Source organism: Homo sapiens, chromosome 2, assembly GCF_000001405.40.
Source record: "Homo sapiens chromosome 2, GRCh38.p14 Primary Assembly".
Lineage (NCBI taxonomy): Eukaryota > Metazoa > Chordata > Mammalia > Primates > Hominidae > Homo > Homo sapiens.
This window is the reverse complement of record NC_000002.12, coordinates 104,596,957-104,624,199: the sequence shown is the minus strand read 5'-3', so window position 1 is coordinate 104,624,199 and position 27,243 is coordinate 104,596,957. Positions and strand designations below refer to the sequence as shown.

The window sequence follows — 27,243 nt, the reverse complement described above, 5'->3', positions numbered from 1 at the left end:
TTCACAATAGCAAAGACTTGGAACTAATCCAAATACCCATCAATGATAGACAGTATAAAGAAAATGTGGCATATATACACCATGGAATATTACGCAGCCATTAAAAAGGATGAGTTCATGTCGTTTGCAGGGACATGGTTGAAGCTGGAAATCATCATTCGCAGCAAACTAACACAGGAACAGAAAACCAAACACTGCATTCTCACTCATAAGTGGGAGTTGAACAATGAGAACACATGGACACAGGGAGGGGAATATCACACACTGGGGCCTGTCAGTGGGGTGAGCTAGGGGAGGGATAGTATTAGGAGAAACACCTAACGCAGATGACAGGTTGATGGGTGCCACAAACCACCATGGCACATGTATACCTATGTAACAAACCTGCACGTTCATGCATGTATCCCAGAACTTACAGTATAATTTATTTAAAAAAAAAGATACTATGACAATTAGGTACTCTTTTTGGGAAAAATCACATTGAAGTCTCAACTCACATTATATCAACAGACAAATTCTGGAGGAATTAAAGAGTGGAACTTACACAAATATCATTATGAACATCTACTTGATCTTTGAATGGAGAAGGGCTTAAAAACAAAAAGGATCACTAAGGAAAATATTAATAAATTTAGCTACCTAAAGACTGAATAATTGCATGGCAAAAATATATCTTAAGAAAAGAAAACACTGGAAAATCTTTGTAACAAATATAAAAGGTGAAAGTTTAGTACCTCTAATATATGAAGAGCTCATTGAAATGAAAAAAGAAAACTTCAGTAGATGATTGGCAAAGAAAATGGAAAGATAACACTCAAAAGAAAAATATAAATAGCTAATAGCAAGTAATGTTCAGTTTTACTGGCAATCAGGCAATCATGAGATTATAGTTTTAATTATCTAAAGTTAGCAAAATTAGTAAACATTAAATAATTTATTTTTTAAGAGACAGGGTCTCACTCTCACCCAGGCTGGAGTGCAGTGGTGGGATCATACTCACCGAAATCTCAAACTCCTGGCATCCAGCAATCCTCCTGCCTCAGCCTCTGGAGTAAGTGGGACTACGAGCATGCACTGTTTCCATGGCTAATTTTTAAATTTTTATGTAGAGATGAGGTCACTTGGTTGCCTGTGCTAGTCTTGAACTCCTGGCCTCAAGCAATCCTCCCACTTCAGCCTCTCAAAGTACTGGGATTACAAGTGTGAGCCACCGTGCCCACCCTATAGAATATTTTTTAAAAATTTATCTGTAAGTATAGTAAAAACACATAAAGTTGATCATCTTAATCAGTAATTGATCAGTAGTGTTAAGTATCTTTACATTTTTTGTGAAACAGATCTCCAGAACATTTTCATCTCGCAAAACTGAAACACTATACCCATTAAACAGCTCCCCCCTTCTTCTCTTTCCCAGTCTCTGGTAATCACTATTCTAATGTCTGCTCCTATGAATTTCAGTACTTTAGGTGCCTCATGTAAGTGGAATAATACAGTATTTGTCTTATTGTGGATTGGCCTATTTCACTTAGCATAATGTCATCGATGTTCATCTATGTTGTTGCATGTGAGAGATTGTTCTTCCTTTTTAAGGCTGAATAATATTCCATTGCAGGTATATATCACATTTTGTTTATCTTCTTATCCATCAGTGGACATACGGTTACTTTCACCTCTTGGCTATTGTGAATAATGCTGCTGTGAACATGGTTATGCATATATCTCTTAGAGATACTGCTTTCAAGTCTTTTGGATATATACCTAGAAGTGGGATTATTGGAATATAAGGAAATTCTATTTATAATTTTTTAAGGAAAAAAGTAACGAATTTTATGATGTTTAATTCTATTATAACCTCTCATTGGTACAGATATGCTGCTGGTGGAAGTACAAATTGGCATCCCCTTTCTGAAAGGCAAATTAGCTGCATATATAAATATCCTTAAAACTATTCATGCCAATTGTCTCCCTTCTCAATGAATTAGTCACAAGGAAAAATCATATATGTGGATAAGGACTCTCCACAACAATGTTCAATGCAACTGCAAATAATATGAAATACATGAAAACAATCTAAATGACCATAGTTAAATGAAACATGGTAACGTGCATGATGGGATATTACACAGCTATTTGGAAAAGATGTTTTGATACATTCTTCATGTAATGGAAATGATTCTGATATAGTATTTAACAAAAGAGTAATATATATAATAGTGTTTACAATATGATCTAAACATTTATAGAAAAATGGACTAAAAAGTTAACTTTTTTAACTGATTGGTGAACTTATTGATGATTTTTATTTATATCTTCTTGACATTAATGTGTGATGCATTTTCAAAAATTTCTAAATGGATTTGTATTACTTTAATTGTCAGGGAAATACAAAATAAAAGTTTCATATTTACAAATAATTGTTATGGATGGTGAAATGCTTAGTGTAAGCATTTATTATCAAACATTTATTCACTTCCATTATATATCAGACATTGTTCCATGTGCTTAGGGTTTGTCAATGAACAAACTAAAGCCCCCCCACCCCCCCACCAATGTGGGGCTTATATTGTAGCAGTGGGAGACAGAAAATTAACAGTAAGCATATCAAATAAGTGAGTTATGTAGTATATTAGGATGATAAGAGTGTTACAGTAAAAAGAAAAATAGGATAAGAAGGATCAAAAATCAAATAAAGCAGGGGTGTGGGGGTAAGGGAGACAGGTTGAGGTGTTAAGTGGTTGCAATTGGCCTCACTGGGAAAGTGACATAGGAGCAATGACTTGCCAGTGCGGAAATTAACCACGTGGATACCTGGGGAAAAGGGCCTCTTTTTACTGCCAGAAAGAACTGCCAGAGCAAAAGCCCTCGGACTAGGGGTTGCAGCTGGGGGAGAACAGGGAAGCCGGGAGGGGTAGTGCAGGGTGAGTGATGGACAGTGTAGTAGACAAGATCAGAGCGACCCTTGCAGGGGCCTGGGACAGGTATTAGCAAGGTTTGGTGGCCATTGCAAGCACTTTGGTTTTTACTCTGAATAGAAATAGGACCCAGGAAAGGGTTTTGAACAGATGATTGACTTCTGCTTTTAAAGGCTTCCTGTGGCCGTTGAGGGGCTTTTAGATGGCAGTGGCAGGGACAGACACCGGATGTCCAGCAGGAAGCCCGATGTGGTGACGTGGGCAAGCGTGTGGCAGCTCTGCCATGGGGGCAGACGTGGAAGCTGTGAGAAACTGGGTCATGAATACATTTTAAAGGCAGTGTGGCAGAATCCCTGATGGGTTGGATGTGGGTGTGAGAGAAAGGGAAGAGTCAAGGATAGCTAAGACTTGAGCAGTTGGGAGGACAGAGTTGATGTCACACGTAATAGGGAGAACAGCAGTTGGGCAAGTGCTGCCCAGGTCACCCCAGAAGTGAGAGTAGCAGCAGAAAAAGGGAAAGGACTGTGCCTGGAGAAGTCACACATGGAGACATCTGGGGAAAGAGATGAAGAAGTCGTGTGGACTAAGAAAGAGTCAGAGGGAGGTGGAAACCTAAGAGAGGGCAGGGAAGCACGTGTATCAAGGAGGAGTGAGTGATCCACTGTGCTCCAGGCAGTTACACCAAGTACAGTTGGATTTAACCATCTGGAGAGCATCTATGGTGGTAGGAATCTGTGGAAGTTCTCTTCTGACAGCTTCAGTTTTCTCAGGGAAGTAGGATGGGGAAGCAGGGAGTGCCGGCTGCGGTGATTTGATTTTCTTCTCAGGCGTTCCAGTTAGCATGGTGAGAAGAGCCATCAGGCAACTTTTTGTGTCTTAATTCAATGGAAGTAACATGTCTTAGGGATCGCCATGGGCTGAATCACCATGTAACATTCTTCAGATGTGGAGAGGCACTGATATCTTGCTTGGCTTGAAGCTGGACAGTAAACAAAATGGAAAGTCATAAACTCCTTTCTCTAAGTTTAAACTTGTAGTTTTCATGTTAAGTGTCCTGTTATTTCTTTGTTTGTTTAGTTTGTTTGTTTTTGTTTTTTTTTTGAGACCAGGTCTCACTCTTATCACCCAATCTGGAGTGCAGTGGAATGATCATAGCTCACTGCAGCCTCGATCTCCTGGGCTCAAGCAATCGTCCCACCTCAGCCTCCCAAATACCTGGGTCTGCTTGTAGCTGGGACTACAAGCACGTGCTACTGTGATTGACTATTTTTTGTGGAGATGGGGTCTTGCTGTATTGCCCAGGCTGGTCTTGAAATCCTGGCCTCAAGTGATTCTCTTGCCTCAGCCTCCCAAAGTGTTAGGATTACAGGTAAGTGCCAGCATGCCTGGGCCATCCCTTTGTATTAATCCAAAGTTGTCCCAGAGTAATAACATTCTTGACTTCATTACTAAGAGACAGGGAACACAGTCCACCAAATATCTCCTTTATCATTAATCTGACATAGGGGGATAAATGATATCAACCATTCAATATAAGCAAAACCACAATTTTCTCATACTTAATAAAAATAAGATATTTATAGTACATTAGTTTAAACCAAATTTGCTAATCTGATTGGTAGAAAGGAACTGTGTAAGAGATTAATATAATGGACTAACGCCTCTAATATAATTGAAGACTAGGATTTTCACGTCATATTAGTGACTTCCATGCTTTTTGTGCAGTTTTCTGATGGAATTAATGTCAAACGCAACACACAAACTGCTTCCCTGTACTGGCCGGAGGAACTTTTGTAAAATATTAATACATAATGAGTTTATCATCTTTAAACACTGTTACAACACATTAAGTGTTCTGTTTTCCCATGTTTAAAAGAAGTCACTCCACAAAAGACAATGATTTTGCCTTTTTCCTCACCAACAACGTTGATGTCTCTTCAAAGTTGAGAGCACATGCAGTTTGAAGACCCCTGTCATTTTCCACAAGCCAGGAACGGTGCTCACTGTGTTGACTCTCACATTCTTTTACCCCGCCCTCTGACAGTCAGACCTGTGAGCCTGCGAGCTTTATGGCCAGGATCATGATGGAATTTTTGGTCTTCAAAAAGTATTGCTTTTTAAGAACAGAGCTTATTTGTCCAAATACTGGTGAAAGCTCTGTTTGGGGAATTTGATGGGTTTGCTCAATGAGTGGCTTCCTATTATCGTTAGGCTCAAGCCTCAAGTCCCTGGCAGAGCCCAGGAGGCAACTGGTGTGCTGGGCGTGGCTCATCATCCAGTCTCTTTTTTTTTTTGAGACAGAATCTCGCTCTGTTGCCCAGGCTGGAGTGCAGTGGCATGACCTTGGCTCACTGCAACCTCCACCTCCCGGGTCCAAGCAATCTCCTTCCTTAGCCTCCCGAGTACCTGGAACTACTAGCCTACCACCACGCCCGGCTAATATTTTGTATTTTTAGTAGAGACAGGATTTCACCATGTTGGCCAGGCTAATCTCAAACTCCTGACCTCAGGTGATCCACCTGCCTCAGCCTCCCAAAGTGCTGGGATTACAGGCATGAGCCACCGTGCCCAGCCTGAGTTTCCTATCTGGTCACCCTTCTTCTACCATGCTTCCTCACTCCCCACCCCCGGTCTATGTCTTCCCTGAACTATCTGCAGAACAACCTCAGGCTGTTTCAGAACTCTGTGACTTTGCCATGCTGTGCTTTTAGGCTGTGAGAGGTTTTTTAAAAAACTCACCTTCATCTCCCTAGCAATCCACCTTCTCTGATTCTCACTCTCATGTTCCATGTGAGTCTCACTCCCAGGACCCACTGTCTCACTGTGGCCATCATCATGCTCACCACATTGCATGATAATTATACTCTTGCATATCTTTCTCCCATTCTCGATCGCGAGCTACTTGAAGACAGGGACTAAGTCTTACATCCCTGAATTCCTCTTCAGTTTCTGATACAATAAATGTGTGACAAATAAGTGAATGTATGGATGAATGCCAGGGTCACTAGAATTAAACTCTGTCAACTGAGAAGTTCCTTTCTCATTGGTATAAGTCCGCCTTGATCTATGCATATCGAGTTAGGACAACTTCCATTTTGTGCAGTTAAAAACAATGAAAGTTCTTCCACTTATCTATTTCTACCTATTATCTCTATCTATGTATCTATCTATCTTTAACTATCTATCTATCTATCTATCTATCATCTATCTATATTGTAGTTCAATTTGGTAGTTATCTTGACTTTTCTGCTTGTTGCAGATAAACTTTGAAAAATTATAGAAATGATCTTTCAGGTTACTTCCCTGTCTCTTTTCTTTCTTCACCTTAGAAAGTCCATTGTAATTAACTGCTATATGAATGGGTCCTGGTATAGAAAACACTTAAAGGAAATATCCTGGTAACCAGATGATGAGACACTTCCATTCTGTGCTGGTCTTTTAATAACTGTGTGATAAAAACAAGGTGGTCTAGCCTACCTTCAGTCTAAAGCAGCCTCCATGTGGTTGAATATCTGGAGCAATGGTGTGTACTTGTACACATAAGACTGATAGAGTATTTAAGACCTTCCAAACAAATGGATATTCACCGAGGGGTACATGGTAATATATGTTACATTTAGTGAGTGTGTCAAAATCTCACAGTCGTGTTTCTTTGACCAGCTCTTCTAGGAGAAGTGGCCTGAGGGGACATTCTTTTACACAAAGCACATGCCCATAAAGGCAAAGCATGCCTTGGCATAGACAGCAAGATTCTACAAGGTGATTTGTATTGCATTTCAGATCAATTTCCCAAGAGTATTCAAATCAGAAATTATAATGGAAATCAAGGTGAGAATGTATTTGTCTCTCTATATTTTGCTTTACATACGAATCCCTTACTATTGTGACATTTTCAGCTGTATGGCATCTAAGAATGATGATCTCACTTTTGCTCCTGGAATAGATTCCTTTTTCTATGCCGAGCAGCTCCATGAAGCCTTTAAACATATAAAACTAAAAAAAGGTATTACATAATTAAATAAAGCTGTCTTCTAGCTTCTCCTGAAATGGGCAAGAAAGGGAATCAAAAGATAACAGAAATAAGGTTTGGTTTTGTGTTTTTCCCCCTCAGGCAGACCACTCTTCTTAGCTTAAGGTAGCAGCATGAATGAGAGTGATGGACTACTTGGCTGCAGTAATTTATGGTTTTCTATGTGACAGCCTATTTTTGAATGCTTCGGCTTTTTATAGTTTCCAGGATTAGTACTTGCTGCCAAAACAAGAGATCACTCTCCTTGGACAGACTGTAATTCAATAGCACAACTTGGGAGCAAGCCACCTTCCCCTGTGTTCTACCACCCACTTTGGTCACCCTGTGATACACAGAGGCGCCATATCACCTGTCCAGTGGGCACTGTGTATCCCGCTTGGATGCAGATAAAATGAGCCTGAAAAAGAATTGAAACCCTGTGAAATGTAACCAAGATTCACATTTACTTGCACTCTCCATACTACATTTGGGTGATTTAAGTAGAGAAGCATGTTCCGTTTTGTAAAAGAAAAGTCAAAATTTCAAAAATAGGCAAGGTGGGAGAATTTGGTCTGTATAAAGCTACGGAATTAGCATGTGTATTTCTGCTGGGTTTTCAAAGTACTTTCATGTCATCTTAAGCATCCTTCACTGTCTACTTGTGTGAGTGGGTAATATTATTTTTGCTTGAAGACAAATGACTTGTTTGTGATTACACAATCAGTAAGTGTAAAAATTAAAGATTCAAACTTGGAGCTTATGATTCCAGATCACCAATTTTTCTCTTCTACATGTTTAACATGAAGTATACAAATGTAAATGTGTATATATACACAGTGCTAAATTCTCTGTTATTAAAGTGGCAGATTCGAAAGTGAAGGCTCCAGTGGACAATATCTTCTGTTACCCACACTCCTGTGCAGTGGTACCAATGAGAATCCTGAAAGATACAATCCTGGATGCCAAAATCCCAAATGCTGAAATCCCTAAAGATCAAAATCACTGTCTACAGTCTAAAATCCCTAATGTCCAGTTGAATCCCAAACTACAATGACAGATTTGGAATTAGGCATGATCAAGGCTTCTAAAAGTGAATTTCAAGTTGCCACCAATGAAGTTTGTTTTTTTACATTCAGTCCTATGCATTTGGTGGAAAATTCAGATGAGTGGCTTAGCCACAAGATATGGCAACGATGAAAACTTCACTTTAAAAATTCATCATTTGTCTACATTGGCATTCCTTCCACCTGATGAAATTCCAGACTTTTTAATAAATTAAAGCTGCATTTGCTTGAAGAAGCCAGAGAAGTTATTGACTAGTTCAAAAATAATTATGGGCATGGTAGGATAAGAAGACACTTAAGCAACGGTGGTGCTTTTCAATCACGAGGATTGTTTCTGCCAAATTTGTGGCCTACACAGGCGTGCATGCAAAATGGATCTCTGCATGCCCAAAACAACTTAGAAGCATGGCACAGAAGATAGGAAAATTTAATAGGGAATGCTCATGTCGGTGTATATTGAATCATAAAAGAATTTCAGCAAGAGCAGAGCCACATAGAAAATGAATGTGAACAAATTCTCCAAGGAGAGCCACATCCTAAAAGAAAAAAAATAGCAGCTGGCCAGGCATGGTGGCTCACTCCTTAATCCCAGCACTTTAGGAGGCCGAGGTGGGTGGATCACCTGAGGTCAGGAGTTTGAGACCAGCCTGACCAACATGGCAAACCCCATCTCTACTAAAAATACAAAAAAATTAGCTGGGGATGGTGGCATGTACCTGTAGTCCCAGCTACTTGGGAAGCTGAGGCAGGAGAATCGCTTGAACCCAGGAAGCAGAGGTTGCAGTGAGCCGAGAATCTTTCACTCCAGCCTGGGTGACAGAGCAAGAACAAGGCTCAGTCTCAAAAAAAAAAAAAAAAAAACAATAACAAACAAACAAAAAAAAAACAGCTTTTCATCAAGTTACAACACTTCAAAATACAGTTAATGATAGTGAGAGTCAGCCAGCTCTTGTGGACTATCTCCATGCAATTGCCCATAATCTATCCCCATAACATACTCTTTCATATGTTAAATTTTCTTTTTCTTGTTCTTTTTTTCCCCACTATTTTAAATTATCAGCATTATTGTTTACAATTCACTGTCCCATATATTTTGTCTTTTCATCATTTCCAATACTAGAGGTACAAATTATATAAAGACTTTTAGAGAGTTCTAGTTCGTTTTATGCATTTTTTTGCAAACTTGACTCTGCATTATCACAATGTTGACTTTGTAAGTGTTTTATGTGTGCATGTAAAAATGTTGAAAATTCCCCAATAAATGAAGAGATGTCCTTTTTGTACATTTGCTTTTGTGAAAATTAAAATTTCTCAAAAACTCAGACCTTTGGGCAACTTACATATGCAGTGGTGACCCACTTCATTTTGGATCAGTCTTTTAACTGTTATTAGTATGTTATTACTGTCTATTTTATTGTATTAAGTGGCTTATAAAGTGTTCTGTTGTGTTTTTATGTTTCTCAAATAAATCCTCTTTTAAAATGTAAATAAACATCTTTTAAAGAATTTTAAAAATTATTTCTTCCAGAATTATATTTTTGGGATTTTGATCTTTCATAATTTTGATTTTCAGGATTTCGTTCTGTCAAGATTTCAAAATTTGGGATTATGGTGTTCAGGACTGTGTCTTTCAGGATTAAGACCTATCCCTTCCCAACCCTATGCAGCTTCCTCTTACCAAGAATTAGGCTGCCCTCTGTCACTAACCAAAGGAGATGGAAGTAATGCCACGTGACTTTTCTAGGCTAAATTCTAAGGATACTTGGCAGGTTGGGCCTTGGTCCTATGGAACTCTCATTGTTTAGTGAGCCAGCTACCATTCAGAAGTTTGACCACCTGAGATTACCATGCTGGGAGGAAGCCCAGCCACTTGAGTGGCCACAGATAGAGATGGCTGACAGGCCTCAGCTGTTCCAGTCATCTCAGGCCAGGTGTCAGAAATGGTGGTGAAGAAGCTTCCAGAAAACTCAGGCTTTGCCACTGAGAGACCTCGAGCAACATCCACCCAGCCAAGCCAAGCTCTGTGAGAGAGCATAATACATTATTGTTTGAAATCATTAAGTTTTGGGTAGTGTGATAGGCAGCCATAGATAACTAGAATAGGGATGTATAAAGCTTTCCCTATTTTCCTTTGAAAACATCATTACATTTCTATCTTATGTAATCTCAAAAGCTAAACAAATAAACAAACACCAAAACTGAAGTGATCATTTTCCTGGGCTCTCTTTTTCCTTCCTTCCTTTTTCTTTCTTTATTTTTCTTTCTTAAAAAACAATAACAACAATAACAACAACAACAACAACAAAAACACCTTTCCACCCATAAAAGGTAAATAATTTGAACAATGTTTCAGAGCACAAGGAAACTTTAAGTTTCTGTATTCAGAATACCAGTGTTAGGATCAGTTCTCCACAGGTCTCTCATGCTTCTAAGCATCTTGTGAGCAGAGGCACTGGCTGCTTTTGTTCTGCACCATCTTTTCAAGGACATTGGATAGCAAAGCAGCTTTGGAAGACAGAGAGAGAAAAGAAGGAGATTTTACCCTACTTGCAAGCCGGCAAGTTAGTTTGCCGTAGTTTCATGGATGTGTGTAGTATAATGAAGATCATGTCTTACTGTGGAGCAAAGGACAGGCAGGCTTAGTGCCTGTTAAAAAAAGGTTTACATTCCCTAAGCTCAGAGGTCCTCTCTTGTAGCACAGTTCATGATGCATACAGGTGTTATGTTGTAGAAATTGAGGCTTAGAGAATCTGTCCAAATGCTGATAATCTGGCTACTTCTACAGTTGTGAGTAACACATTGCCCTTTGTTGCTGACCCAGGAATCTCATGTCTTATACTGGCATCCACGAAACTAAGGCAAACTAAGCAATGTATTTATGATCCAGTTTCTCGGCATCCTCATCAGCATTTGGTGTTGTCACTACTTTTTGTTTTAGCCATTCTGATAGCTGTATAGTGGTATCTCATTGTGGTTTTAATTGGCATTTCCTTAATAATTAATGATGCTGAAGATGCCTTCATGTGCTTATTTGCCATCTGTATACAGTCATGAGTTACTTAACAACATGGATACATTCTGAGAAATGCATCATTAGGTGATTTTGTCGTTATGGGATTATTATAATGTACTTACAGGAACCTAGATGGTATAGCCTACTACATACCTAGGCTATAAGTCTGGTACAGTCTAATTGTTCCTAGGCTACAAACCCATATATCATGTTACTCTACTGAATACTGTAAACAATTGTAGCACAATGGCATTTGTGAATCTAAACATAGGAAATGTACAGCAAAAATATGGTATAGATTGGTGCAAAAGTAATTGCGGGTTTTGCCATTACTTTTAATGGCAAAAATTAGGAGTATATTAATATTACACTCTTGTGGGAGCACCATCATATATGTGATCCAACATTGCCCCAAACATCTTTATGCAACACATGACTGTATCTTCTTTGGTAAAATGTCTTTTCACGTCTTTTGTTCATGACCTAATTGTTTCTTTTTAAATTGTTGAGTTTTGACGGTTTTTTTTAAAAAAATTTCTAGATGTTTATTTTTTGTTATGTATGCAGTTTGCAAACAGTTTCTCCCACTCTGTAGTTTATCTTTTTATCTTCTTAAAAAATCTGTCACAGAGCAAAAGTTATAAATTTTGATGAAATCCAATTTTTCCAATTTTTCTTTCTTAGCTTGTGCTTTTGGTGTCAAGTCCAAGAACATTTTGCCTAGTCCTGGATCCTAAAGATTTCCTCTTATCTTTTTTCTAAAAGTTTTATATTTTTACATGTGACATTTAAGTCTATGATCCCCTAGTACCTCAGAATGTAATCATACTTTAAGATAATGTAATCATACTTTGAGATAAGATCTTTAAAGGGGCAATTAAGTTAAAATGATGCTGTTAGGGTGGGACCCTAATCGGACTGATCCATTCATAAGAGGAAGAGACGTCAAGGATGAACACAAATAAATGAATGACCACGGGAAAAGGCAGGAAGAGGGTGGCCATCTGCAAACCAAGGTGAGAGGTGTCAGAGGAATTCAATCCTGCTGGCTCCTTGATCTTGAATTTTTAGCCTTCAAAACTCTGAGAAATTAAATTTCTATGGTTTAAGCTATCCAGCCTGTGGTGTTTTGTTTTGGCAGCCCTATCCAACTATTATGGCTGTGTATCAATTTGGAAAGAATTGATACCTTCACCTGGTTCAGTCTTCCAATCCGTGAACTAAGTATATCTCTCCATTTTATGCAGATCTTTGTTTTCCATCATCAGCATTTGCAGTTTTCAGCATGCAAGATCTATACATGTTTCGTTAGGTTTATACCTAAGTACTTCATTTTAAGTAATCACTAATGGTCTTACATTTTTAACTTCTATTTTTAGTATTTATTACTAGTGGATTAAAATATAATTGATTTTTGTGTATTTATCTTGTATTCTGTGACCAAGCTTAGTTCACTTATTAGTTCTAGAAGTTTTCTGAGGGTGGATTCCTTGGGGTAGTCTACATAGGCAACCATGTTTCTACATATAGAGACAGTTTTATTTCTTCTTTTCTGATCAATATGCCTATTATTTCCTTTTCATGCCATACTGTACTGTTGAGATCTTTCAACATTATGTTCAATAGCAATGGTTAGACACATCCTTGCTGTGTTTCCAGTCTTTGCCAAAATAATTCAGTCTTTCACCTTTACGTATAATGTTAACCATATATATTTTGTAGATGCTTTTTACTTGGCTTAGGAAATCCTCATCTATTTCTATTTTTTTCTGAGAGATTTTATCACAGGTGGATATTCAATTTTGTTGAATATTTTTTTCTACATTAATTGGTGTGATCATGTGTTTTTTCTTCTTTACCCTGTTAATATATGGTAGACTACACTGATTAATATTCAAATACTAAACCAGTCTTGCATCCCTGGAATAAACCCACTTAATTGCCTTTTACAATATTAACAAATATTGTTTTGTTAATATTTGTTAAGATTAGTTAATATTTTGTTTGTTAATTATTTGTTAATATTTTATTAAGAACTTCTGCATCTACATTCATAAGGAATAGTGGTCTATAATTTTTTGTTTTGTCTTTTTTTGGTACTGTCTTTATCTGGATTTGTTATCAGAGTAATATTAGTTTCATAAAGTGAATTAGGAAGCATTTTCTCAAATTCTATTTTCTGGAAGAAATTGTGCAAAATCAATAGTCATCTTTTTTTTTTTTTTTTTTTTTTGAGATAGGGCCTTACTTTATTGCCCAGGCTGGAATGCAATGTCTCCCTGCAGCCTCAATCTCCCGGGCTCAAGTGATCCTCCCATCTCAACCTCCCAGGTGGGCACCACCATGCCTGGCATTTTAAAAACTTTTTTTTTTTTTTTTATAGAGATGGGAGTCTCACTATGTTGCCCAGGCTGGTCTCGAACTCCTGGGTTCAAGTGATCCTCCTATCTTGGCCACCCAAATTGTCGGGATTATAGGCGTGAGCCACTGTGCCCAGTGTTAATTCCTTAAATATTTGAAACAAAATCCCCAGTGAAACCATCTGGGCCTAGAGATTACTTTTTACAGAATTTAACATACAAATTTAATTTTCTTGAAAATTGTAAAGTTTTTAAAATTATGTATTTTATATAGGCAAGTTGTGATAATATGTAATTTTTGAAGAACTGTTCTATTTCATCTAAGTTGTCAAATTTACGTATGTACAGTTTTTCTTACTGTTCCCACATTATCCTTTTTACATGGCAGTCTCTGTAGTGATATCACATTTTATTCTTAATGCTAGTAATTTGTACCTTCTCTCTTTGTTTTTGTCAGTCTTGTTAGAAGATTGATTGTATTGATCTTTTCAATTAACCAGCTCTTTGTTTCATTGATTCATTTTATTGTTTTTCTGTTTTCAGTCTCATTGATTTCTGCTTTAATCTTTATTTTTTCTTCCTACTGCTTGCTTTGGATTTATTTTGCTCTCTTTTTCCAAGGTTCTTGAAGTGAGGAGTTGAATTGTTGATTTGAGACACTATATCTTTCCTAGTGGATGAAAATACAATTGATTTTTGTGTATTTATCTTGTATTCTGTGACCAAGCTTAGTTCACTTATTAGTTCTAGAAGTTTTTTGAGGGTGGATTCCTTGGGGTAGTCTACATAGGCAACCATGTTTCTGCATATAGAGACAGTTTTATTTCTTCTATAAATTTCCTTTTGAAAAGTACTTTACCTTTATTCTATAAATCTTGCTATATATTTTTTATTTCAGTTTCTTGTATTTTTCAAGTCCTGGATAGCCTTGTTAACCTTCTGTCTTGTTGATCTGTCTAATATTGACAGGAGGGTGTTAAAGTCTCCCATTATTATTGTGTGGGAGTCTAAGTCTCTTTGTAGGTCTCTAAGGGCTTGCTTTATGAATCTGGTTGCTCCAGTATTGGGTGCATATATATTTAGGATAGTTAGCCCTTCTTGTTGAATTGATCCCTTTACCATTATGTAATGGCCTTCTTTGACTCTTTTGATCTTTGTTGGTTTAAAGTCTGTTTTATCAGAGACTAGGATTGCAACCCCTCCGTTTTTTTGCTTTCCATTTGCTTGGTAGATCTTCCTTCATCCCTTTATTTTGAGCCTATGTGTGTCTCTGCATGTCAGATGGGTCTCCTGAATACAGCACACTGATGGGTCTTGACTGTTTATCTAATTTGCCAGTCTGTGTCTTTTATTTGGGCATTTAGCCCATTTACATTTAAGGTTAATATTGTTATGTGTGAATTTGATCCTATCATTATGATGTTAGCTGGTTATTTTGCCCATTAGTTGATGCAGTTTCTTCCTAGCCTCGATGGTCTTTACAATTTGGCATGTTTTTGCAGTGGCTGGTACTGGTTGTTCCTTTCCATGTTTAGGAGCTCTTGTAAGGTAGGCCTGGTGGTGACAAAAATCTCTCAGCATTTGCTTGTCTGTAAAGGATTTTATTTCACCTTCACTTATGAAGCTTAGTTTGGCTGGATATGAAATTCTGGGTTGAAAATTCTTTTCTTTAAGAATGTTGAATATTAGCCTCCACTCTCTTCTGGCATAGGGTTTCCGCCTTGAGATCCACTGTTAGTCTGATGGGCTTCCCTTTGTGGGTAACCCGACCTTTCTCTCTGGCTGCTCTTAACATTTTCTCCTTCATTTCATCCTTGGTGAATCTGATGATTATGTGTCTTGGGGTTGCTCTTCTTGAGGAGTATCTTTGTGGTGTTCTCTGTATTTCCTGAATTTGAATGTTGGGCTGTCTTGCTAGGTTGGGGAAGTTCTCTTGGATAATACCCTGAAGAGTGTTTTCCAACTTGGTTCTATTTTCCCTGTCACTTTCAGGTTCACCAATCAAACTAGATTTGGTCTTTTCACATAGTCCCATATTTCTTGGAGGTTTTGTTCATTTCTTTTTTTTCTTTTTCCTCTAAACTCTTCTCACTTTATTTCCTTAATTTGATCTTCAATCACTGATACCCTTTCTTCGACTTGATCGAATCGGCTATTGAAGCTTGCACATGCATCACGTAGTTCTCGTGCCATGGTTTTCAGCTCCATCAGGTCATTTAGGTCTTCTCTACACTGTTCATTCTAGTTAGCCATTCATCTAATCTTTTTTCAAGGTTTTTATCTTCCTTGAGATGGGTTTGAACATCCTCCTTTAGCTGGGAGAAGTTTGTTATTACCAACCTTCTGAAGCCTACTTCTGTCAGCTCATCAAAGTCATTCTCCATCCAGCTTTGTTCCTCTGCTGACGAGGAGCTGGGATCCTTTGGAGGAGAAGAAGCACCCTGGTTTTTAGAATTTTCAGCTTTTCTTCTCTGGTTTCTCCCCATCTTTGTGGTTTTATCTACCTTTGGTCTTTGATGTTGGTGACCTACAGATGGGGTATTGGTGTGGATGTCCTTTCTTTGATGTTGATGCTATTCCTTTCTGTTTGTTAGTTTTCCTCCTAACAGTCAGGTCCCTCAGCTGCAGATCTGTTGGAGTTTGCTGAAGGTCCAGTCCAGACCCTGTTTGCTTGGGTATCACCAGTGGAGGCTGCAGAACAGCAAATATTGCTGCCTGATCCTTCCTCTGGAAGTTAGTCCCAGAGGGGCATCTGCCTGTATGAGGTGTCAGTCGGCCCCTACTGGGAGGTGTCTCCCAGTTAGGCTACACGGAGTCAGGGACCCACTTGAGGAGGCAGTCTGTTCGTTCTCAGAGTTCAAACACTGTGCTGGGAGAACCGCTGCTCTCTTCAGAGCTGTCAGACAGGGACGTTTAAGTCTGCAGAAGTTTCTGCTGCCGTTTGTTCAGCTATGCCCTACCCCCAGAGGTGGAATGTACAGAGGCAACAGGCCTTGCTGAGCTGCAGTGGTCTCCACCCAGTTCGAGCTTCCCTGGCCACTTTGTTTACCTACTCAAGTCTCAGCAATGGTGGACACCCCTCCCCCAGCCAGGCTGCCGCCTTGCAGTTCGATCTCAGACTGCTGCGCTAGCAGTGAGCAAGGCTCTGGATGTGGGACCTGCCAAGCCATGCACGGGATATAATCTCCTGGTGTGCCGTTTGCTAAGACTATTATTGGAAAAGCACAGTATTTGGGTGGGAGTGTCCCAATTTTCCAGGTACAGTCTGTCACAGCTTCCCTTGGCTAGGAAAGGGAAATCTCCCCACCCCTTGCACTTCCTGGGTAAGGCAATGCCTGACCCTGCTTCAGCTCACCCTCCATGGGCTGCACCCACTGTCCAACCAGTCCTAATGAGATGAACCAGGTACCTCAGTTGGAAATACAGAAATCACCCATCTTCTGCATTGGTCACACTGGAAGCTGCAGATTGGAGCTGTTCTTATTCAGCCATCTTGGAACGGAAGCAGTTTCTTGTATTTTAAAAATTTTCCTTGAGACTTTCACTTTGACCCATGGATTATTTAGAAATATAGTGTTTACTTTCCACATGTCTGGAGATTTTTCCTGCTATCTTTCTGTTACTGATTTTAGTTTGAGATCATTATTGTCAAAGAATACACTCTGCATGATTTCAATCCTTTTACATTTATTGAGGTTTGTTTTGTCACCAAAGAAATGTTGTATCTTGTTATATTTTCCATTCCACAGGCACTTGAAAAGAATATACTGCCTGCCTGCTCTTATTCACTGTAGTGTTCTATAAATGATAATTACACCCTGGTGGTTGATGTGTGTATGTGTTTTTGTTTTTGTTCTTGTTTGAGTTCTATGTTCTTGTGATTTTCTGTATACTTTTACATCAATTACTGAGAATGAAGTGTCAAAAAGTCTCCATCTGTTACAATGGATTTGTATGTTTTTCCCTATAGTTTTACCAGGTTTTGCTTTACATATTTTGCAGCTCTTTTGTTTGGGGCATACACATTTAGGATTGCTATGTCTTCTTTTTGGACTGACCTTTTATCATTATTTAGTATTATTTTCTGGTCCTTGTAATTTTCCTTGCTCTGAAGTTCACAGTATCTGATATTCATATATTCATTTCTGCTTTCCTTCAATAGTGTTTGCATGACTCTTTTCACATGTTTTAACTTCCAGTCTGCCTATTTTGTTATGTTTGAAATAAGTTTATTGTAGATAGCACATAGTTGGAGATGAGTTTTTGTCCTGTGGCCAGGCTGGTCTCCAACTCCTGACCTTAAGTGATCTGCCTGCCACGGTCTCCCAAAGTGCTGCACCTGGCCCACATACAGTAATTTCTGATATGTTAGGACTTAAGTCTGCAATTTCATTTTTCGTTTTCTTTTGTTCTATTTTTCATTTTTCTATTTACCTTTTCCTGCTTTCCTGTGAATTACTTGAATACTTTCAGATTTCCATTTTGATTTATTTATAGTGTTTTTGAGTGTACAGCATACCTCAGAGATACTAGAGATTCAATTCCAAACCACAAAAAAAAGTGAGTATTGCAATGAAATGAGTCAGAAGAAATGTTTGGTTTCCCAGAGCACAGAAAAGTTGTGTCTAAGCATACCTTAGTCTATTAAGTGTGCAACAGCAGTATGTCTAAAAAAAGGTACATAACCATTTAAAAATACTTTAATTGTTAAAAATGCTGATAATTATTTGAATCTTCATTGGTCATAATCTTTTTGTTGGTGGAGGGTTTTGCATTCATGTTGATGGCTGCTGACTGATCAGTTGGTGGATGCTGAAGTTTGAAATGGCTGTAGTAATTCCTTTTTCATTTCTTTTTTTTTTTTTTTTTTGAGGTGAAGTCTCATTCTGTCACCCAGGCTGGTGTGATCTTGGTTCACTGCAACTTCCGCCTTTCAGGTTCAAGCAATTCTCCTGTCTCAGCCTCATGCCTCAGGCTCCTAAGTAGCTGGGTTTACAAGTGCCCACCACTGCATCTGGCTAATTTTTTTGTATTTTTAGTAGAGATGGGGTTTCACCATGTTGGTCAGGCTGGTCTCAAGCTCCTGACCTCAGGTGATCCACCCGCCTCGGCATCCCAAAATGCTGGGATTACAGGTGTGATCCACGCGCCTGGCCAGTAGTTTCTTAAAATAAGGCAACAACGAAGTTTGAAGTTTGCCACATTGTTCGTTATTGTTCAAGAAAGATTTATCTGTAGCTTGTGATGCTGTTTGATAGCATTTTATCCATGACAAAACTTCTTTCAAAATTGGAGCCAATTCTCCAAAACTTCCTGCTGCTTGATCAAATAAATTGATGCAATAGCCTAAATCCTTTGTTGGAATTTCAACAATGTTCATGGCGTCTTCACCAGGAGTAGATTTCATCTTTTAAAAAAACCAGTTTCTTTGCTCATGCATATGAAGAACTTCTTATCTGTCCAAGTTTTGTCATGAGATTGCAGCAATTCAGTCATCTTCAGGCTCCATTTCTAATTCCAGTTTTTTTGTTTTGTTTTGTTTTGTTTTGTTTTTTTGAGAGGGAGTCGCACTCTGTTGCCCAAGCTGGAGTGCATTGGTGAGATTTCTGCTCACTGCAACCTCCACCTCCTGGGTTCAAGTGATTCTCCTGCCTCAGCCTCCCATGTAGCTGGGATTACAGGCCCCTGCCACCATGCCAAGCTAATTTTTCAATTTTAGTAGAGACGAGGTTTCACCATGTTGGTCAGGATGGTCTCAAACTCCTGACCTCAAATGATCTGCCCACCTCGGCCTCTCAAACTGCTGGGATTACAGGAGTGAGCCACTGTGCCCAGTGTAATTCTAGTTCTATTGCTATTTCCACTACATCCACCCAGATCCACCAGAGGAATCACTATCTATGGCAGCCATAGCTTATGAAATGTATTTCTTAAATAATAACACTTGAAAGTCAAGATTGCTGTTTGACATACAGTCTATAGAGTGCATGACATTCTATTAACAGACATAATAACAACATTAATCTTTTTGTACATCTCCATCAGAGTTCTTAGGTGACCAGGTGCATTGTCAGTGCACAGTGATATTTTGCAAGGAATCTGTTACCCTGAGCAGTAGGTCTCAAGAGTGGTCTTCAAATATTCAGTGAACCATGCTATAAATAAATGTGCTATCATCCAAGCATTGTAGTTCCATTTATAGAGTACAGGCAGAGTAGATTTAGCATAATTATTAAGGGCCTTAGGATTTTTGGAATGGTAAATGAGCCTTGGCTCATCTTAGAGCAACATCAGCTACATTATCCTCTAACAAGAGAGTCAAGCCTATTTTTTTGAAGCTTTGAAGCTAGGCACTGACTTATCTTCTCTAGCTATGGCAGTTTTAGATGGCCTCTTTTTCCAAAATAAGACTGCTTTGTCTGCATTAAAAATATGTAGCCACCTTCATCAATGATCTTAGCTAAATCTTCTGGATAAGTTGCTGCAGCTTCTACATCACCACTTGCTGTTTCACCTTGCACTTTTATGTTATAGAGACAGCTTCTTGCCTTAAACCTCATGAAGCAACTTCTGCAAGCTTCAAATTTTTCTTTTGCAGCTTCCTCACCTCTCTCAGCCTTCATAGAATTGAAAAAAGTTAGGATCTTGCTCTCGATTAGGCTTGGCTTAATGGAATGTGGTAACTTATTTGATCTTCTGTCAAGACCAATAAAATTTTTCCTATACCAGCAATAGAGATATTTCTGTTTCACTTTCTTATAATCCATGTGTTCACTAGAGTAGTACATTTAATTTCCTTCAAGAAGTTTTCCTTTGCATTCACAACCTAAGAAACTCTTTGGTGCAAGAGGCCTAGCTTTTGACTTATCTCAGCTTTTGACATGCCTTTCTCACTAAACATAATCATGTTTAGCTTTTGATTTAAAGTGAGGAATGTGTAACCCTTTCTTTTACTTGAACCCATAAAGGTCATTGTAGAGTTATGTATTGGCCTAATGTTAAAGTTATTGTTTCTCAAGGAACAGTGAAATGAGAGAGAGAGAGAGAGAGAGAGAGGAGAGACAGGGTAATGGTCAACCAGGGGAGCAGTCAGAACACGCAACATTTGTGGATTAAGTTTGCCATTTCATATGGATGCATTTGTGGTAATATAAAACAATTACAAGAATAACATCAAAGATTACTGACAGCAGAACTCCACACAGATATAATAATATAATAAAGTTTGAAATATTATGAGAATTACCAAAATGTAACACAGAGACATGAATGAGTACATGTTGTTGGAAAAGATAGAACCAATAGATTTGCTTGACAAACCTTTAATTGTCACAAACCTTTAATTTGTAGAAAATGCAATATCTGCAAAGCTCAATAAAATGAAGCACAGTAAAACCAGGTATGCCCCTATCTCTTCATATACCTGTGTTAGTGGTTGTTCTAGGTCTTACATTATATATATAACTTATCTCACATTACTCTTGTCATCATTTTATCAGTTTATATAAACTATAGAAATCTTAACTCACTTTTGTTTATTTTCTCTCCCTATTTATTATATAATATACTTAAATATTTCCCTCAGACAGATATGGAACAAAATCAGATAGTATCATAATTTTTATTTCTACTTTTAAAAATTATTTAGAAAACTCACAAGAAGAAGGAAAGCCTGTTGTGTTTACTCATGTTTTGCCTTACTATAATTTTGTTCCTTCTCAATATTCCAAATTTCCTTCTTTTATCTTTCCTTTTCTGTGTAGGAATTTTCCTTTGGCTCTCCTTTTATGTGAGTTTGGCTGATGACAAATTATCTTAGTTTTCCTTCATCCAAGATATTTTGGTTTCTTCTTCATTTCTGAAGGATATTTTTGCTGAACAGAGAATTCTGGGTTAACAGTTCTTTTCTTTTAGTACCCGAAAAATATCACGTCATTTCTTTCAGCCTCTGTGGTTTCTATTGAGAAATGTGCTTTCATTCTCTTTGTCTCCTACTGTTAAGGTGTCATTTTTCTCTGACTGATTTCAGTACTTTTTCTATGTCTTTAGTTTTCAGAAATTTAATTATGATTTACCCTAGTGTAGATTTCTTTGGGTTTCTTCTGTTTGGGTTTCGCTCAGCTTCTTGAATCTGTAGGTAAACAGCTCTTGGCAAATTTTGGATTTTCTGCCATTATTTCTTCATGAGCTTTTCAGCCCTATACTCTTCTAGAACTCTAATGACACAAATGTTAGAACCGTTGTTATACTCCCACAGGTTCTTAAATTTCTGTTATTTTTTTCAGTCTATTTTCTCTCTATCTTCCAGATCAGACATTTTTTATTGTTCTATTTTCTAATTCACTGGTTCTTTCCTCTGTCCCTTCTATTCTGCTGTTGAGCTCATTCACTGGGCTTTTATTTCAGCTGTTGCATTTTTCAGTTTTATAATTTCCATTTGGACTGGGTTCAGTGGCTCACACCTGCAGTTCCAGTTCTTAGGGAGGTCAAGGTGGGAGGATTGCTTGAGATCAGAAGTTTGAGACCAGTCTGGGTAACATAGTGAGACCCCATCTTTGCAAAAAACAAATAAATAAGCAAACAAACAAAAAACAGAAAAAAACTAGCCAGATGTGGCGCCACATGCTTGTAGTCCTAGCTACTTGAATGGCTGAGGTGTGAGGATCACTTGAACCCAGGAATTCAAGGCTACAATGAGCTTTGATTGAACCACTGCACTCCAGCCTGGGCAACAGAGTGAGATATCTTATCTCCAAAAACAAAAGAAAAAAAAATCCAATTTGGTTCTTCTTGTCTTCTACTTTCTTACTGAGAGTTTCTATTTTTAATAATTTGCTTCAATTATGCTCATATTTGCTCTTCAAAGCACTGTTATATAGCTGCTTTAAAATCATTGTCAGATAACTCTAACATCTTTACCATTCTTGGTTTTGGTGCCTATTGATGGTCTTTTTTTCATTCATTTGAGATCCTGGTTCTTAGTTCATGTCAGGTTATGAGATTCTGGATCTTATTTAAATTTTCTGTTTTACTTGATGTTGTTGAGCATTACTCTGGCAAGAAAAAGTGGGGAGAAAGGAATATGCAGCCTTGTTACTTACAGATGGAAGCAGAAATCCAGGTTCTCCATGTGACCTCTATTGATCCCCAAGGGTGACGTCCTTGTCACTTCTGGTTATGGTTGAAATTTCTGGCTCCCCATGTGGTCTCTCCACTGATACTTCTGTGGGGAGTGACGCTGGGTAGTAATACAAGTCCTGACTCTCCATCAGGCCTCCTCTAATATCACCCCAGTGAGACAAGTGAAAAGTGCCTCATTACTATCAGGTAGGTGTAGAAGTTCAGGCTCCCTAAGTAGTCACCACTGACTCTGAAGGAAGAGGTGCCCTGTTACTTGCTGGCAGAGTTTAAAGGCCCAGTTCCTTAATGGCCTTCTCTGATATCACCCTGGCAGAAGATTTAGGGCATTCATTACAGCCTGTTCAGGGTGAAAGTCTAGGCTCCCCATTCAACATTTGCTGGTGTGGATAGTCCTGGGGATGTAGTTTCTTTTGTGGTGTTTGGCTGGAATAGAGTGGTTATTGTCTAAAATTTAGTCTTGATAGTGTTCACCTTTTCTGGTCATTTTGGCTAGAAAGAGCAGGAATTTTTGGGGGATTTTGTTTGTATCTATTGACTTTTCCATTTTCCCTGTTTCTTCAGCTCCAACTCTGGGGTATATGAGGCACAAAGAAAATCCAGAGGACTCATCATCATGTCTTTCCTCCGGTCCCAAGTTCACTTGCCATTCTGCATTCTTTCTGCACTTTTCAGACTCTTCTGAGGTTGGTTTTACATCAAGGGCTTTTAGATGTACTTAGCAGAAAAATTAGAGAAAATGCGTTTATTCCATCTTTCCAAGCAGAAGCCCCATATCATTTAAAAATCTTTTATCAGGTATACTTAATTTTGAGACTTTGGTTGCTTTTGTCAAGTGAGATTTAGTGTCAAAAGACTGCAAGGTGTCTTTTCTTCCTTTCTTTCTTTCTGTTTTTGTTGTTGTTGTTGTTGTTTGTTTGTTTTTTAATTTTCTTTTTAGAGAATGAGTCTTGCTCTGTCATTTAGGTTGGATCACAGTTCACTGTATTCTTGAACTCCTGGACTCAAGTGATCCTCCCACCTCAGCCTCCTGGGTAGCCAGTACTACAAGCACACACCACCACCCCTGCTAATTCTCTGCTTTTATTTATTTTTGTAGAGATAGAGTCTTGCTACATTGCCCAGGCTGGTCTCAAACTTCTGCCCTCAAGTGATCCTCCTGCCTCGGCCTCTCAAAGGATAGGGATTACAAGTGTGAGCCATTGTACCTGGCCCTCTTTTCTTATCTTGGTTACAACAGTCAGCAGATCTGTACTTTCACTAGCAGACATTTCCAGGTGCCCACTCTCATCCCTCTGGCATGCATTATGGCCATGGTGTGTCACTGATGACTTCTATTATAATTACCAACATCAGCATTCCACCAGGGTGCTTTCCCCATGTTATGGTCAGCTTCTCTACTTAGGAGTCCAGTGAATTAAAATCCATGGAAACAGCCCTCAAACAATAACTGACTGGAAGGGCTGTATAAATACCCCAGCTCCCTCACCCTATTGGAGTAACTCTGAAGCATTTCATTTTCCAGAGTTTTCATGCTGGGTTAAGTTTTATTTGTTCACAGTGATAGCTTGCCTGTTATTGCACAATGTATTGGCTGCCTTCCCTTCTCTGTCTCATTTCCCATGTTTCTCACACCTCTCAAATAAACTGCTTGCTCTGGGATACTTGCCTCAGGCTCTGCTTTTCATCCTTCTCCACACTAGTCCATTCCAATAGGGCTTATGCTGCACTCTGAGCAGTTCACACACTGGGATGGGCCTCTGCTGTACAGAAACCATATAAAGTCTTTCCGTTTCAAGCACAGCGATGTCACAGTTCCAAGTTAAGGCTAAAAGCATTTGAATCCTGGCTTCTTTGCTAGGTTGTTGTGTAACTGTGGAAATGACTCATAGCTTTTCTGAACCTCTATTTCTTCATTTTCAAAATGGACATAATAATACCTGCTTCTTAAGTTGAGAGGTTTAAATGAGATAATAAATTTAAAACGTGTCACATAGTGCCTGGCACATAATTGCTCCATTTCTTTAAATATCAGCCAGTGTTATTAATAGTATTCATGCCTATTTCTACTTTTCCTTTTAACTTTCTGCACATCTTTTCCAGTCTTCTTAACAGCTTTGCGTTATCTTGATCCTGTCTTTGGTGCTCCTCTCATCTCACCTTAAGTGTTCTCGTGGGTTGACCTCAACTGATCCCACAGCTTCCATTTCTAATGCATTAAGCATGAAAAGTTCTCTTTCTCCAGCCTCTCCCTCTCTCCTGGTCTCTAAACCCAACATTTTCAACTCTCACTGTAACTCCAAATGCAGTGTGCACAAAATAAGACTTTGCTACACCAACAAATCAAAATGTGTGTACTCCCAGTTATTTATCTGTTCCTATTTTGGTTAAAGACATCCTTCATCATCCAGATGCCAAGCTAGAAATCCTAATTTTAATTTTTTCTTTCTTTATATTTTTCATATTCAAGCAGTTACCAGATTCTCTGACTTCTACTTTCTAAGTTGGTGTTTCCAAACTGAAGATTGCAACCTGTTAGTGATGGCAGCTCATGGGGACCAGTTAACTCTGATGCTGGCAGGCTCTTTCTGGTGGCCAGCTTTCACAGCTACTTTTCTCCAGCTGCCAGCTGGGGAATGTGCTAATTGAAAACAGAAATTCTCCCTTTTAGCCCTTAAATATAAATTTTAAGAGAGTAGTCCTGCACAACAGGAATCCCTAACCCCTAGGCCATGGACCAGTACTGGTCTGTGGTCTGTTAGGAACCGGGACGTGGAGCAGGAGGGGAGCAGTGGGCAGCTGACTAAGCGAAGCTTTATCTGTATTTACAGCTGCTCCCATCACTCGCACCACTGCCTGAGCTCTGCCTCCTGTCAGATCAGCATTCTCATAGGAGCGCAAAACCTACTGTGAACTGCGCATGTGAAGGTCCTAGGTTGCATGCTCTTTATGAGAATCTAATGCCTGATGATCTGTCACTGTCTCCCATTACCCCCAGATAGGACTGCCTAGTTGCAGGAAAACAAGCTCAGGGCTCCCACTGATTCTACATTATGGTGAGTTGTATAATTATTTCCCTATATATTACAATGTAATAATAACGGAAATAAAATGCGCAATAAATGTAATGTGTTTGAATCGTCCTGAAACCATCCTCCCTACCCAGTCTGTGGAAAAATTGTCTTCCATGAAACTGGTCCCTGGTGCCAAAAAGGTTGGAGACTGTTGCTGAACAAGAAGGGAGACCCCAGGATAATCTAATCATACAGATTTTTAGAAACTAGGAGGATAAGAATAAATATTTCTTTTTTAAAGATAATGTAGTGTAAAATAAATAAATACATGTATTTATTATTTATATACTATTTATCCATATTATATATTTACATATATTTGTATATTACATACCTTTTATATGTGTATTTATTAATAAGAAATATAGCTATCTATGGTTTATATATGTCGTATATATTTGATCTTTGCCCGTGGTTCCTGGCACAGAGCTTCTGAAACCCTTGGAATCCCCTGAGTGCTGAGTGTCTTTTGTATGCTAATGAGATGACTCATGGCTGGGGACCTCTATAATTTCAGAATGGGGGTTGGTCACCAGAAAGACCAAGCCATGATGAGAGGATTGGAGCTTTCAACTTCAGTCTCCTACCTTTGAAGAGGGGAGTGGGGCTGGAGATTGAGTTTAATCACTAGTGGCCAATGATAGTTTCAATCATGCCTACAAAATGAAACCTCCATAAAAACCCCAATAATAATGGGGTTTGGAGATCTTTTAGGTTGATGAACACATAGAGGTGCTGAGAGGGTGGTGCACCCAGCAAGGGTGTGGAAACTCTGTTTCTCCGCTCCCCCAATGACCCATGCATCTCTTCCATTAGTTTCTTCCTGACTTGTAGCCTTTAGAATGATGCACTAATAATAATAAAGTGCTTTCCTGAGTTCTGTTAGTTGTTCTAGTGGATTACCAGACCTGAGAAATCTACAGGCAGTCAGTCAGAAGGATGGGTAGCTCCTGGGACATCCGGCTATCATCTGAAGTTAGGGCAATCTTGCGGGACTGAGTCCTTTACCTGTGAGGTTTGCGCTAACTCTAATGGTTACTGTCAGAATTGAATTGAATTAAATTGTTGAACATCAAGTTGGTGTCAGAGAATTGGAGAACTGGTGTAGAAAATGACAAGTATTTGGTGTCTGAAAAAAACCACACATTTGGTGTCAGAAGTGGTATGAGAAAAAAGATATTGCAGATGAGTAATTAGATTTTTTTAAAAGTTCTGCAACCTTAAAGAAAAAGATCATAGAATATGCAAGAGATAGCTAAAGAGAAGATTTTTGAGGGAAAAAAGTTATTCCAAGAAACAGGTATAATTTGGATAGCAACAGCAAATTTAAATTGATAGTTCTATGAAGTAGGAAATGAAAGATGAGGTAATTTTAAAAATTGAAATAAAAATCAATACCGTTGAGATAAAGAAAATATTTAAGAAAAAATAAGAAAAATTTTCTACCCTAGCAGAATGTAGAAGAGTTAAAAAGAACATTGACATTGCAGAAAATTGATCAGTCTTCTGGAAGATGAATTTGAGAAAGTTTCTGAAAATTCAGAGGTAAAGAACAACCAGGTGAAAATAATAAGTATAATGCACATGGATGGCCTGGTGCGGTGGCTCATGCCTGTAATCCCAGCACTTCAGGAGGCCGAGGTGGGTGGATCACCTGAGGTCAGGACTTTGAG

The 27,243-nt window shown here is 38.6% G+C and overlaps 1 long non-coding RNA gene across 1 annotated transcript in view; it reads right to left on the bottom strand.

Moving 5' to 3' along the window:
- Nucleotides 1-2,435: 2,435 nt before the first annotated feature.
- Nucleotides 2,436-27,243, bottom strand: part of LOC105373525 (uncharacterized) — a 38,670-nt gene continuing 13,862 nt past the window's right edge. Inside the window, exon 3 of the long non-coding RNA NR_188368.1 lies at nt 2,436-3,891. This is a non-coding gene — a long non-coding RNA (uncharacterized LOC105373525). The remainder of the gene's footprint in view (nt 3,892-27,243) is intronic.